Source organism: Homo sapiens, chromosome 1 (assembly GCF_000001405.40).
Source record: "Homo sapiens chromosome 1, GRCh38.p14 Primary Assembly".
NCBI lineage: Eukaryota > Metazoa > Chordata > Mammalia > Primates > Hominidae > Homo > Homo sapiens.
In genome coordinates this window covers 91,734,597-91,749,265 of record NC_000001.11, presented here as the reverse complement: position 1 = coordinate 91,749,265, position 14,669 = coordinate 91,734,597, and the positions used below count along the sequence as shown (strand labels likewise).

Here is a 14,669-nt window from a genome sequence, read left to right as displayed (position 1 = left end):
ACAGTCCATTTGATCTCTGGCCTTTCCATCTTTATCACAGAGAGCCTGTTCTTGAGATTCTATTGGTTCTGGGTGATACAGATGGCAGAGTGATGTTCAGAGCTGCTGTTTGGAGCCAAGCCTGCCCCAATCCATTAAAACAGGGTTTTTATATCCTTTTCTTGCAGTTTGTATAAGAAGGCTATGGTCCTGCCATAGTGAGGAATGACTCGTGGCCTGTCAACCTCAGCATCTGTCAGACAAATCTCATGGCCCAATGTGAGGATACATACACACATATGTGTATGTTTAACAAGCACTTCTAGTGTGTGCCGTGTGTGAGGTACTCTTCTGAGTACTTACATGTATGAGCTTAGTCTTCATAATAAGCCTGTGAAGTAGGTGCTTTTGTTGTCTTTGTTTTAAGATGAGGAAACTGAGACAAAGAGGTTAACATGTACCTGGTCCCATAGCTAGTAAACGGGGGCTCTAACCCAGGGACAGTGCTTAGTAAGTACTCAGTAAATGTTAGCAATAATAATAATAATAATAATAATAATAATACTTTCCAGAATGGTAAATGGGGACCTCATTGGGAACAGTCACACTGCTGACTCGAGGGCATGACTATGATTTTATCTCTAACTCTGGCCTCCAGTCTGGAGCCACTCATGACTGTTCCAAGAACAGGGCTTCAGAATTGAACCTATAGAGCCAAATCAGGGCATCGCATCAGGTGAGCAAACTTCTTGTTTCAGCAAAGTGTTTTATGCATGACTTATTTCAGTACTGGGATCTAGATCATATCAGTATTTCACTTGAATAAAGATTTTAAAACTGTTTCTTGACCCCTTTCCCAAGAGCTTTCCCTCTGGGGTCCCAGTTGGAGCGTTTCTGGATCAGCTCCACCAGGATGCCCTAATATCTACATCTATCCTGAACCCTGTGGGGACCGTTTGTTAATTGATGCTAAATATGTGCAGTTCAACCTTCTTTGCTTTGACCTAGGAGACCACCTTGATCATCTTCAGAGACTTCAATGTAGACTGCAAAATGGGTGTGGCCTGCTTAAGAGGGCTCTGCCTTTGCTTCAGAGCTAATTTTAGGAAGCTCAAGGAGGCTCCAACCACAGTTATTTCGGGCTAGAGGCCTCACCTCCATTCTTGCCCTCCAAGGAAATACCCTTTAGAACTTTTTTTCCCAAACTGTTGTTAGGTCTGTGGTTCCTGGGCCAGAATATGCAGCTCTGTTTCTCCTAGGGCTTGCACCAGCCATTCCCAGGAGCTATCAGTCAGCATTTATCTAGAGAAACAGAACCAGTCGGGGATATATATATGAAGAGATTTATTACAAAGAATTGGCTTATGCCATTGTGGGGACAGGCAGGGCAATCAAAGTCCGCAGGGAGGCCTTCAGGAAGGGCAGCTCAGGCATGAGCGGAAGCCGCTGTCCACAGGTGGAATTTTTTCTTCCTCAGGGAAGCCTTGGGTGTGCTCTTAATGGCTTTCAATGGATTGAATCAGGCCCACCCAGATTATCTGATACAATCTCCCTTCCTTAGTGCCACCTGATTATGGAGTTTAATTGCGTCTACAAAATACCTCACAGTAACGTGTAGATGAGTGTTTGATTGCATAGCTGGGGAAGATGGCCTAGATACGTTGACATATAAAACTGACCATCACAGAAATTTTTAAGATCCTTGAGCAATTTGTTGTTGTTTACTCTAACTTGACTTCTAGCCAAGTAATTATTTCGTTGCTTTAACTGTTTCATTTCTATTTCTGTCTGTCCCTTCCATTCCGTTCCTCTCCACTCTGACCAGCACAGCTCCTGAGATTGCTGGGGAAGAGGGGACAGAGAGGGAAATAACCCACCAGGAGAATCTCTGCAAGCAGCAGTGAAGGGTGGGAGCCCCCTGCTTTGCCTCACTGCTTTTCCTTTTCACTCTCCTCTAAGCCTGGAGAATGTTCCTCTGTATTTGCCTACCCAGACTTGGTAGAAAGCTTGCCCTAAGACACCCAGGTCTTTGCTGACCTGTGAGCCAGTCAGTTCCCTCACCAACGGGAGATGACCTTTCCAGGCAGAGTGTCCACCTTCCCACAGTGGAAAGAGCATCATTTTTGGAGTCCAGCAGACAGTTTGAATCTGCACTCATTTCTTGCTAAAGGTGTGTAATCTGGCACTTTATCTAATTGCTCAGAGCCCCAGTTGTTTCCACTATCAGATATGAGGATTCAGAATCCATGTGACATGCACTTAGGAAGTGTGCAGCCTGAGCTTTTGTGATTAATATCATATTTCCTAGTGTTTTATTAACATGAGGCTGAGGGATGTGCGTGTCTACCCTACACTACTGATTTCTGAGCCTGGTAGCTGACTCTTCCACAGCGATGGAATAGAAAGAGCTCTAGAGTGAGAAACCAGGTCTTTGGTTCTATTGTCAACCCTGTTGTCTGCCAGCTGTGTGCCTTGGGTAGATCCTTTAGCTTCTGTCAGCTTCAATTTCCTTCTCTGTAAAATGGAGTTGAGATTATCAGCCTTGATGAAAAAAAAAACTCTATAAAGAGAATTCTAGGAACATGTTTGGAGCCAGGCATTTGTAAAAATCAGTTTTTGCTCTTGAACTTGACTTGGCTGATTGGATGTAACTTAGAAGAAAAAAAAAGAGAGTCTTCCCTCCTGTGGGGTTCTCCAGGAGCACATTTGGAGGACAAAATTAGATAAAGGAATATGGCAAGTAATAGTAATGATACCAACATTTTATTTTTTTTCGTGAAAAACATCATTTAGATTGAAATGCACTTTGAATTTGGGGGTAAGCTCTTCCATCAGGCTAACATTGGCAGATGAGGAAGGGTAAAGTTAGGAGTCTGAAGAATTTTTTGTAAAGCTGGACAGGATTCCTGTGTGGCCTGGGACTCTACTTTGGAAAACTATATTAGAAAGCAGCTTGTGCTTCATCAGTTTGGTAACTTGTGGGGACTTAGTTTGTTTTTTAGATGGAAAGACATCTTTTGCTTCTCTTTGTGTATATACACACTCACATGTACTGTTGTTCTGATAACGTTTCCATGGGAGATGAGAGTATTGCTTTTGTACTGGCTCATGTTCAAGTTTGTGCATGTTTGTGTTTGGAGGGCAGCATCTCAGAGCTTTCCTCTTGGACGTGTGTAAACATGCAGGGTGTTAAGAACATGGGGCGGTTTCAGTCATTTAGGTTTTTTTTATATTTCAGCAAAAATTAAGAACAGGATGATCATCATGAATGTTTTGAGAAAAAGTAATAGTCAAATATGTTTTAAGTCATTTTATTGGAAGAAAGTAATCTGGTTTGGGGTACTAAATAAAATCACCCAAGAATTTTTAAATGGCTGCATGGATTTGTGTTTCATGAATGCATGATTGGCAGATACCATCATCACATGGCTCATGAATATGTAGCTTTGCAAATTATGAACCTAGGTTCACAGGCATGGAAGTTATTATTTCTTTGAAATGAAGCTTTTTTAAAAGGCATTGAGTCATGATATATGTTAATAGAAAACATGTTTCGGATTGCATTTCACATCACATGGCTTCAGAGGAAATAGGCAAGTGGGGTCCTCCCAGGAATTGGGTAGGGAGAACGTGTGATTTTCCTCTTTTAAAATGCAGGGTTCAGTCTTCATTTGGAAGGTAAATATTTCAGTGCTGTTCCAGTATGTTTGTTTTTGCTGGACTTTGTGTGTCCAAAATACATAAAAGCATAATCTTTGTAATGCCTTTCTGTGTGGGGGCTGTGATGAGTTCTAGGGCCAATCTGTAGATCCCACTTAAACCTCAACTGAGATTCTTGAGGAATACCTATTCTCCTTTACCGTGTGTCTTTTCCCCCTGGAACTGAGCCAGCAAGTTCTTGGCATGGCAGGTGTTTCTGAAATATCAGTGTGTTTTTCTTTGCTTTCTTTGTTTTCCTTGTTTTGCTCTTTCTATTTTCCTAAGCAGGCAACTCCAAAAAGAGATTTGTTTGTGCAGGAGTCAGGAAAAGGGAAGAGGAATACTGAAAGCTGGGAGTAGGGCAGGACAGAAGAGGGGGAGGAGTCTATTTTCATTGTGTAAGTGTTGAACTTCCACCAATGCCAAAGTCACGGACATGTGTGCAGTTGGATGTGCGAGTTAGAGCAGCCCCAAGGGCCTGTAACCTGAATAGCAGGCACTCACCCAGCTGATAACTCAAGTTCCAAATGGACCACAGCTGAGTTGTAGGGGATGTGTGTGTGTGTGTGTACGCGTGCGTTTGAGATTCCTGGAACAGATTTCCTCTGAGATCTCAACAGGCTTTTTCATTATCATTGGGGAGCTATGGTTTCTCTTATTTCACAAGGCCCATTTCTTCCTTTTGAGATGTGCAAGGAGATGACTCCATCCATGACTTGGCTTTACACTCTCCCTCTTGGCTTTTTATCATCAGTGCAGAGGAGAGATTCTTGCTCGTTCTTCAAACAATCTCATTCGAGCTTTATAAAGATTATTGGAGTTTAAATAATATTCATATCTATGGCCTAGAACAATGTTCCTCAAGTATGCGTCAGAATCATGAGTGGTAGAGGGAGGATTATAATGTAGTTTCCTACATTTCTACCTCCCACCACCCTGGAGTCTGCATTTTAACGTACTTCTGTCTGAGGATCAGACTTTGGGAAGCGTTGGGCTTGAGATGTTTTCTTGACATTGATTTATGTTGAGACCAGACCAAGAAGCAGATGGATGGACATGATCAGTTCATAAACATGTTCCTTTCTTAGGGTCAAATTGGAGGAGGCTCTAGAGAAGCACTGTCCAATAGAAATATAATGCCAACAATATATGTAATTTTAAGTCTTCTATTGGTGCATTTAAAAAGTAAAAGAAGGCTGAGTGGCTGGGCATGGCTCCTCGTGCCTGTAATCCCAGCACTTTGGGAGGCCGGGGTGGGCAGATCACCTGAGGTCAGGAGTTCGAGACCAGCCTGCCCAACATGGTGAAACCCCATATCTACTAAAAATACAAAAAATTAACCGGGCATGGTGGCAGGTGCCTGTAATCCCAGCTACTCGGGAGGCTGAGGCAGGAGAATCGCTTGAACCTGGGAGGCAGAGACTGCAGTGAGCTGAGATCGTGCCACTACACTCCAGCCTGGGTGATGAGCGAAACTCCGTCTCAAAAAAAAAAAAAAAAAGTAAGTAAAATTAATATTAATGACACTTTGTTTAACCCAGTAGATCCAAAATAATATCACTTAAACTTGTAATCAGTCAATAAAAATTAATGAGATAGGGATTTTTCTTGTGCTAAGTGGTATGCATTTTACATTTATATAACACAGGTCAATTTAACCAGCAACATTTCAGGTTCAGGTACTTGATGGTGCCATGTGGCCAGTGGACACTACATTGGATAACAGCTGTAGAGCAATGATGCCTTCGCTAACCCCCTGGCAGACACGTGGTTGCTCATGGCATTTGTTCCCATTTCTCCACTGCTCCTGAATATGACCTCAGAATCCTTCTCAGCACAGAACCTTAGGCAGGCACTGCCAGTTAATTGGACATCAAGATTTGTTTTATTTATCAAACAAATACTTAACAAGTATCTTTTTTGTACCCAACACTTGGGGTATACCCATGGACAATGCACACTAAGATCCCAGCCTCTGAAGGAACCTTCTAGTGGAAGGAGTTGGGCAATAAGCATATTATATGGCATTTTAGAAGGTGACAAGTACTGTAGAAATAAAATGTAAAGTGAGTTTGGGAAAATCAGAATTCCTAGAGTGGGGCTGGGTGGTGGGGTTGTAAATTTAAATGGGCCCATTGAGAAGGTAACATTTGAATAGACTTGAAGGAGGTTGAGGTGAAACTTAAGATGAGACTTAATATCCACTTTTGATCTAGGGTGGCCTGAAGTTTCCTCAAGACTTCATCTGGGAGCATTCTTTTTGGGGTAGGGGTCAAGGAGGCAGGAGGATGGGGATGTGTGGCACTATCCACAGCAAGTTCCTCTCCTCACCACTGAAGACTAAACCAACGTTGGGGAGGCCCAGAGAGAGGCTACAATGCAACCTGCCAGGTGGTGAGTCAGCTGATGTGCTAAGTGCTAAAGCAAAGAACCTCAGTGCCAGGAAAATGGTGTCTGTGCTCATTAGCTGGGACTTGTACACTTCACTCAGGCTTGGGAGATCAACCTTGAGGCTTCCGTGGATCCGCTGAGGACTTTAAGAGTTAAAGCTTAAAGACAGGTGTGGAAACAAAGGGCTGGTTGCCTCTTTGGCTTTTTTCATGTAGTTTTGGATGAGGTTGTTGAACCTGATCCAGAAAAAATAATAAACTTGGCTGTGGTTGCCTAGCCGTAAGTTCTTATAATAAAACTCCCAGCAATTGGCAGATAGAGTAATGTTCTGCTCTTTAAAAAAGTCTGGTAGCATAACCTGAATTTCAAATACAAATGTTGTGCATGGTTCAAGTAGGGAGGAGCATTCAGGAGAGTCCAGGGTGCACCTCAGCATCCCAGGATTTGTTTGACTGTAAAGTGCTTCATGGTTCCCCTTCAACAAACGTTTACTAGGAATTGGGACCCTTGGAGCCCAGTGCTCTGTTCATTCCCACAGGAAGACATTTGTCATGTCAGGGAATGTTAGAGGATTGGGTTTTAATTAGCAAGCAGGAGGAAAGTTCATTGGGTTGTGGGGAAGACATGGAATTACTAAATATGCTTTAATAATTGGTTTTTAGGTGGAGTTATTAGGTGAAAAATCAAATCATTAGCTTTAAAGCTTGGCCAAAAGCTCATTTCCTGGGCAGTAAGGGAAGCAATGAGTTTGGGTAATGGGAATGAATCAATTATGGTGTATCTTTTCCTGTAGGTAACAACATTGAGCTTTCATTCAACAAGCAATTATTGGGTCCTTGCTTCATGCCCAGCACTATGCCAGGCCCAAGGGATTCAGAATGAACAAGGTTTTTTCTTGGCCCTCGAGGTGTTGCTCTTTGTCAAATGAGGGTGGCAGGTATGCTGATAAATAGTTGCAGTCCATGTGAGAGAGGGATGGACTAAAGGTCTGTACAGTCACTTGTGTGCAGCTCATTGTGAGGAGAGTAGGGAGCCTGGGAGGCTTCACAGAGCAGGTGATACTCCTGGGAGGACACAGAACGGTTTGCCATGGGAGCAAGGTAGGATAGACGGGTTCAGGCAGGGTGCAGGGTGTAAAAAGACCCAGGAGTGTGTGGCAGCATGATGTGTTCTACAACTGTGAGTAGTTCTTGGGTATGTGGGAGGGTGGCATGAGATGAGGGCGGGCAGAGGCACTTCAGTCATGCGCCATGTTAAGATGCTTAGGTGCCATTCCGCTTTATCATGTGTTTACTTTTTAGAAGGATTACCCAGGTGACAGTGTGGAGGAGGGGTAGAAGGAACAGGAATAGCGGCTGGGAGGGTAGAAAGTTACTGCAACAGTTTGGTTGAGATTATAAGGACCCAAAATGGGACAGTGTTGTGGCAAGCCTCCAGGGATAAGGTGGAAGATGGGGCATGGAATAAATAGTCTCCTCCTCTGGCACACAGCTCCTCCAACCCTCATCATCTCTGAAGTGTTAAGTACCTTTTTGTATGCTGGTGAGATGACTGGTGGCTGGGGCTCCTGGATAGCCTCTGGATGGGGGCTGGTTGCCAAGGGAACCAACCATGTGATTAGAGGTTAGAACTTTCAGCCCACCCCTCTGAAGGAGGGGAGAAGGGCTGGAGATTGACTTAATCATACATGACCAATGGTTTTATCAGTCATGCCTGTGGAATGAAGGCTCCCTAGAAATCCCTGATCTGTGGGGTAGGGTTTGGAGAGCTGCTGGTTGGTGAGCATGTGGAGGTGCCGGGGCGTGGGGGAGTGGCGCTCTCCGAGAGGGCACAGAAGCTCCTCACCCCTTCCCCGTACCTTGCCCTGTGCATCTCTTCCATCTGGCTGCTGTTCTTGAGTTGTATCCTTTATCATAAATGAATAAACTTAAAAGTATTTCCTTGAGTTCTGTGAGCCATTCTAGAAAATAATTGAACCTCAGGGTCATGGGAACCTATGATTTATAGCCCCACTATCAGAAGCATCTGAAGAGGGGCAGTCTTGTGGGACTGAGCCCTTAATCTGTGCGGTCTGACCTATCTCCAGGTAGATGGTATCAGAATTACATCGAAATACACAGCATCAATTGGTGTTCTGAGTTGGAGAATTAGTTGGTGTGGGAAAAACACCCAGACATGCGATGTCAGAAGTAAACTATTGAGAGTGGTGTGAGCATAGAGAAAAATAGGTTGTTTTTCTCCTATACACTCTTGCAGTTATCTTCCTTGCAGTGATGATTGCAACCCTTTCTCATATTAGACAAAATTATTTTCCCTACATTTCTTATGTGTTTTGCTATTCTCTTTATATCCTATGTTCTTCTACAAGCCAGACTCTGATAAGGGTGCTATGCCATGAAAATTAATGCAGTGTCTGGAGCATGGACTGGTAGACTAGAGGAATGACCTGGAAATATCTTGTCTTCATTTCAGCAAATGATATGATTTGGGTCTATGTCCCTGCCCAAATCTCATGTTAAATAGTAATCCTGTGACCGGGCACAGTGGCTCAGGCCTATAATCCCAGCACTTTGGAAGGCTGAGGCAGGTGGATCACCTGAGGTCAGGAGTTCAAGACCAGCCTGGACAACCTGGTGAAACCCTGTCTCTACTAAAAATACAAAAATTAGCCGGGCCTGATGGTGGACGCCTGTAATCCCAGCTACTTGGGAGGCTGAGGCAGGAGAATCAATTGAACCCGTGAGGTGGAGGTTGCAATGAGCCAAGATCATGCCATTGCACTCCAGCCTGGGCGACAGAGCGAGACTCCATCTAAAAAAAAAAAAAAATTGTAATCCCAGCTGGGTGTGGTGGCTTACACCTGTAATCCCAGCACTTTGGGAGGCCGAGGTGGGTGGATCACCTGAGGTCAGGAGTTTGAGACCAGCCTTGCCAACATGGTGAAACCCGTCTTTACTAATAATACAAAAATTAGCCGGATGTGGTGGCACACGCCTGTAATCCCAGCTACTCGGGAGGCTAAGGCAGAATAATCTCTTGAACCTGGGAGGTGGAGGTTGCAGTGAGCCGAGATCGCACCATTGCACTTCAGCCTGGGTGACAAGAGCAAGACTCCATCTCAAAAAATAATAAATAAAATAAAATAAATTGTAATCCCCAGTGTTGGAAGTGGGGCCTGGTAGTAGGAGGTGATTAGATCATGGGGATGGGAAGATTTCCTCTTTTGTGCTGTTCTCGTCATAGTGAGTGATTTACCACGAGATCTGGTTATTTAAAAGTATGTAGCACCTACCCACTCCCTCTCTTCCTCCTGCTCCTGCCATATAAGTCACGCCTGCTTCCTCTTCACCTTCCACCATGATTGTAAGTTTCCTGAGGCCTCCCAGCCATGCTTCCTGTACAGCCTGTGGAACCATGAGCCAATTAAACCTCTTTTCTTTGTAAATTACCCAGTCCCAGGTATTTTTTTATAGCAGTGTGAGAATGGACTAATGCAGCAGGGTTCTTGGTGGGTTGTAGCATGATGCCCTTACAAAGATGAGGAAGGTTCTGTGAGGTCCCTTGGTAGTTGGCTGAACAACCTGGAACCCCAGCAAGGACTGCTAATGTGCTCAGGTTAGTGTGGGAGTGTACGTATGAGTCACAGACTTCAGCCTTGTCTTGGTCAACCTCTCAGGGATTTAGATGAAAGTGCAGAAGGTGTGCTATAAAATTTAATTATTTATAGCTAATAAAATAAGGATTTTTACATGGTCTCTTCAGACTTGAAATATGGGTCTGAAGAATAACTATAAGACTTTGCATTTATTTTGGGAGAATTATGGGTATAAGGATAGGATAGAAAAGCCTCGAACTGGTGAAAAGACCTTGGGGGGTTAGGTACCATCATCTCTACCATCCTTCCTGGTGTGAGTGACCACTGTTTCTCACCTGAATTATTCCGGAAGTCTACTAATGATCTCCTGCTTTTTGTCTCCCCTTAGACTCAACATAGCAGCCAGAGCCATCCTGCGAAAACATTTGGTAGATGTTTCAATAGTCCTTACAACGGTCTACAAGGTCCTGTTGGGCCTACTGGTCTCCTCTGGGACCTGTGTCCTACCAACCTTGCCTCAGCCCTGTGTCCTACCAACCTCCTCTCAGCCCTGTGTCCAGCCACACTGACCTCCTTGGTCTTCCTTCACCATGTCAGACCTTACACTTGCTGCGTCTCAACTGTGAATGCTCCTTGCCCTGATGTTTGTGTGGTTTGTTCTTTCGTCTCCTTTAGGTCTTTAACTTCTCAGTGACCTTATTGTGCTCCTCTGGCTGTCTTATTAGACTTTAATCTCCATAAGGGCAGGGAATTTTTTCTGTCATATTCTCCACTGTGTCTCTCCACTGTGTCTCCAGCATGGAGAACAATGGAGTAGGCAGGCACTCCATAAATCTTTGTTGGCTCTATGTTTAAAGCATAGATTAGTTTATTAGGCTGTTCTTGCATTGCTAAAAAGAAATACTTGAGACTGGGCAATTTATAAGAAAAGAGGTTTAATTGGCTCATGGTTCTGCAAGCTGTACAGGAAGCATAGCACCAACATCTGCCTCTGGGGAGACCTCAGGATGCTTTTACTTATGGAGGAAGATGAAGCAGGTGCAGGCACTTACACATGGCAAAAGCAGGAGCAAGAGAGAGAACGTGTGTCGGGGGAGGTGCCACACACTTTTAAATGAGCAGATCTCACGTGAACTCAAGACGAGAGTTCACTTATTACCAAGGGGATGGCCTAAGCCATTCATGGGGGGATCTGCCCCCATGATCCAAACACCTCCCACCAGGCCCCATGTGAAACGTTGGGGGTTACCATTCAACATGAGATTTAGGTGGGGACAAATATGCAAACTATATCAATTAGTAAATATGAGATCATAGCAGGGTTCAGCTGATGCCAAAGCTAATGTGGATGCTTCATGCAGTGTTCACATATATGGAGAAAGAGATTTATTATAGGAATTGTCTCATGCAATTATAGAGGCTAAGAAGTCCAAAATCTGCAGAGCCAGTGCCCCAGTTCCAGTTCGAAGGCCTGTAGGCTGCTGTAGCACCGGGAAGAGCTGATGTTCCAGTTTGAAAGCCATCAGGTAGAATTCTTACTTGTGAGAGAGTCAGCTTTTTGTTCTATTCAGGCCTTCAACTGATTGGATGAACCCATACATGTCAGGGAGAGAAATCTGCCCTACTCAATGTACTAACATTTAAATCTCATCCAAATGCATCCTCACCAAAATACCCAGAATAATGTTTGGCCAAATATCTGGGCACCTGTGGCCCAGTCAAGTTGACACATAAAATGAACCATCACAGTATGCTTCTCAGACCATACCTGGAGACCTTGAATCTTGTCCCGACACCGTCTTTCAGAGACTATCCTGTTGACGCTCTGACAACCAGGGTATCTGGGGCAGAACTGAAGAAGCTAGGGGTGTTGCCCTGAAAAAGCAAACATGTGATTGAGGTCAGATGACACCTTTAAACACCTGAAGTCTTGTCTCATGGAAGAAAGACGAAGGAATTCTTTGTTCTAGTAGGCATGGCTCAGACTAGTGTATAAAAAATGAATCTAACAGAACAGAAATCTGCTGTCTTGGGAGCTAGTGAGGTCTTCTTTCTGGAAGGGTGCAAGCAGAGGCCAGCTGTGACCAGGAGTCAGAAGTCTTAAGTTCTGGTCTGGGCCTGGTGCATGACTCTCTGGCCTTGGGTAGGCCATTAGACTCTCTGAGGTTTCCGCTTTTCTGCTGTAGAGGTCACCGTAGCCTGCCTCACAGTTCCGCAAATCAGATGGAAATAACATCTGAACAATACCTTCTAAAACAACACCTTCTAAAACTCAGCTGTAGCCTTGTCAGGGTCAGGAGAGCTGGCAGTCAGGAGGGGAGTGCTAGCTCACTCCTTGCTGAAGCTGAAAATTTCCACTGACCTGCAGTCAGGGACACCTCACTGCAGCTTTGCTTTCTTCTTATTGGAATGTGCCTGAGGAGTGGCAGTTAACTCCAGTTCCAAATTCCTCAGCCCTGAGTGTATGAAGCTTATTGCTGCTGGCCCGTGAGGACAACAATGCCTGGAGGGAGCAGAGGGAGTTGTTCCTCCTCCACGAATCAGCCCCATCACCAGCTTCATCACGGCATCGCTCTTTAATTACTTCAGGACACAATTCGGAGTTGCCGTTGATATCTTCTGTATTTGTGCTGTTTGCTTTCTTGCCTCTGGAATGCACCAGTGTGACATCCCGCTTTCCGCTCTGAAAAACGTACTCTGTGTATAATGTATATAGGGTTGCTGTAGTTTATGGCCACAACATGAATGAGAAACAAGAAGCAGAACATCCAGGGTTTCTCGTCTAAACATTCAGAACTGTGCTGGCAGTGGGACAAAGGCCTCTGGACTGTTGTGGGTTTTGGTGACAGCCTTGATAAAAATGCCTTTTTAGTACAAGTGAAAGGAAGATTTTACTACAGTGCAAAAGTCAAAAAATTAGATAAACATTGTTGGAAGTTCAGTGTTGATGAGTAGCTAAGCCTCAGAGAAGTTACACTTAGGTGGGCATGGTTATTTTTTGGCAGGAAAATGACCTAGGATTTTTTTCTTATTCAGGCGACGTCAAAACAAGGTTAGAGCTACATGTTCCCCTCTGGTTTTGTTTATAACTGGCATCAGGACATTCAGAAATGATCGTGACTACACTTGACAGCACTGATACGTAGTAAGTGTGCAGTCAGTGGTAGCTGTTGTGAGTAGCTTTGGTTTACACCGAGTTTATTAGTGATTAATTCAGGGCTTCCACAGAGCCCTGTGTAGTTCTACACAGCTACCACTGACTGCACACTTACTACGTATCAGTGCTGTCAAGTGTAGTCACGATCATTTCTGAATGTCCTGATGCCAGTTATAAACAAAACCAGAGTGGAACATGTAGCTCTGTACCATCTGTGTGGCCCGGGCATCAGGATATCTAGAAACTTTTCAGGTGATTCTAGTTTTCAGCTTGCAACATTAGTAGGTCATGGAATCAATTAATTGAAGTACTTTTTTTTGCCAGCGTTTTTAGAAGATACGTTTATATAATTGTATAGAAAATATTAATGCCTAGCACAGTAGCTGGGAAAATATAATTTTGTGTGTGTTAAAAATGCTGCTGTGATAGAACCACTAATAAAATCCCTGCCCTCGACTTGCTTCTTAGTCTTACTTCAGAAACTGCATGCTTTTCGTTATGAATAAATGGTTCATGTGAAATTTAATACAAGACATTTATAGTTCTATGACCTGAGAATTTGTGAGCCTTCTTGCCCACATTTTGAGGTTTCACTCTGACATTGAAAAAATCAGTTATTTTATAAATGCTAGCCAACAAAAATGGCATACATATTTTCACCAGCAACTAAATTTGATTATAGCACAGCAACAAGATGATGATTTTCCTCCTTTGGATGTGTTAATTACACATATACCATGATATGCTAGGTCAGCAGTGGTCTAAATACATTCAGCAAGAATGAGGTACTTGCATACGTCATCCTGAAAGTTTTATTAGATCAGTTTAACAGCCTCTTGACTTCATTATCTATGGGAATTTGGGGGTCTTACACAATAAACTGTTACAAACATTCATCTCACTCTTATGAAATAGAGCAATGTGATAGAAAGGCTGGCAACCTTTGGCCATTTTTATCTCAGTGCTGAGGTGAACATAAACCAAGAGGACTCTCGCTGTTTCCCTATTGTGATGACTCTGTTGGCAGATGCTGCAACTGTGGAAGACCTGAAAGTCGTGATCAGTTGCTAGCAGGACTTTGGGATCACTTGTCTTGATCCTGAAGCTTTTTATAAGCCCACGAGAACATTCATCAAGGCTTCCCACTTGACTTGAAATACATTCATTGTAAGATTGGTCTTCGATTTAGATTTCTTGGAAATAGCAGTGATAATTCTTACGATTACTCAATGTGCAATGCAGTCCGTCCTCACAAGGTTCTTTCAGAGTTCAGAGGGACATCCTGCATTGGTAGTTTTGCCTTTGTCTGGGAGGACTAGGCTTGGGATTATTCCTTGAATCCGCTGCTTAAAAACGCTGATCTGCTTGTATAACAAAGGGAAGAGGTTCGATTTACAAGCACTTCGATTTGAGAAGTACTTTCTCTAATTATGATTCAGCTCCGGTGACTGCACCATGTTAAATACGCAATTCTCTTTCCTCTAGGTGTCTGAGGGTTCTGTGGTCCAGTTTTCATCAGCAAACTTCTCCTTGACAGCAGAAACAGAAGAAAGGAACTTCCCCCATGGAAATGAACATCTGTTAAATTGGGCCCGAAAAGAGTATGGAGCAGTTACTTCATTCACCGAACTCAAGATAGCAAGAAACATTTATATTAAAGTGGGGGAAGGTAAATTTTATGTGGCTTCAGTTAATGACTGATTTATGACAGGCAATTGTTTTCTTTTCTGAAACCAGGTGGTTAGGGCAAGGAATCACAGAATTACAGAATGTTGGACCTGGAAGGGACCTGAGGGGTCATTTGGCCCCAGGCCTCTCCACCGCCCCCCATATTCCCTCCCTTCTTTT

General features: G+C 43.7%; 1 protein-coding gene across 12 annotated transcripts in view, besides 2 other annotated features; it reads left to right on the top strand.

Moving 5' to 3' along the window:
* Positions 1 to 14,669, top strand: part of TGFBR3 (transforming growth factor beta receptor 3) — a 225,660-nt gene that overhangs the window by 156,737 nt on the left and 54,254 nt on the right. For all 12 annotated transcript variants that reach the window (NR_036634.2, NM_001195684.1, XM_047429247.1 and 9 more), the window contains one exon: positions 14,307 to 14,490. Coding sequence is in view for 10 of the 12 variants with exons in the window: in NM_001195684.1 (NP_001182613.1) it covers positions 14,307 to 14,490 (184 nt within the window). In the remaining 2 variants the exon portion in view is untranslated. The remainder of the gene's footprint in view (positions 1 to 14,306; positions 14,491 to 14,669) is intronic.
* Positions 2,940 to 3,234: a silencer, noted in NCBI's record as "tiled region #7299; HepG2 Repressive DNase unmatched - State 5:Enh, and K562 Repressive non-DNase unmatched - State 23:Low". NCBI's record gives its function as "represses a minimal TATA promoter and a strong SV40 promoter by Sharpr-MPRA in HepG2 and K562 cells {active_cell/tissue: HepG2 | K562}" and the evidence as "EXISTENCE:reporter gene assay evidence [ECO:0000049][PMID:27701403]".
* Positions 11,312 to 12,511: an enhancer, noted in NCBI's record as "CDK7 strongly-dependent group 2 enhancer chr1:92202312-92203511 (GRCh37/hg19 assembly coordinates)". NCBI's record gives its function as "activates an origin of replication core promoter dependent on BRD2, BRD4, P300/CBP, MED14 and CDK7 cofactors, with strong dependence on CDK7, by STARR-seq in HCT116 cells {active_cell/tissue: HCT116}" and the evidence as "EXISTENCE:reporter gene assay evidence [ECO:0000049][PMID:35650434]".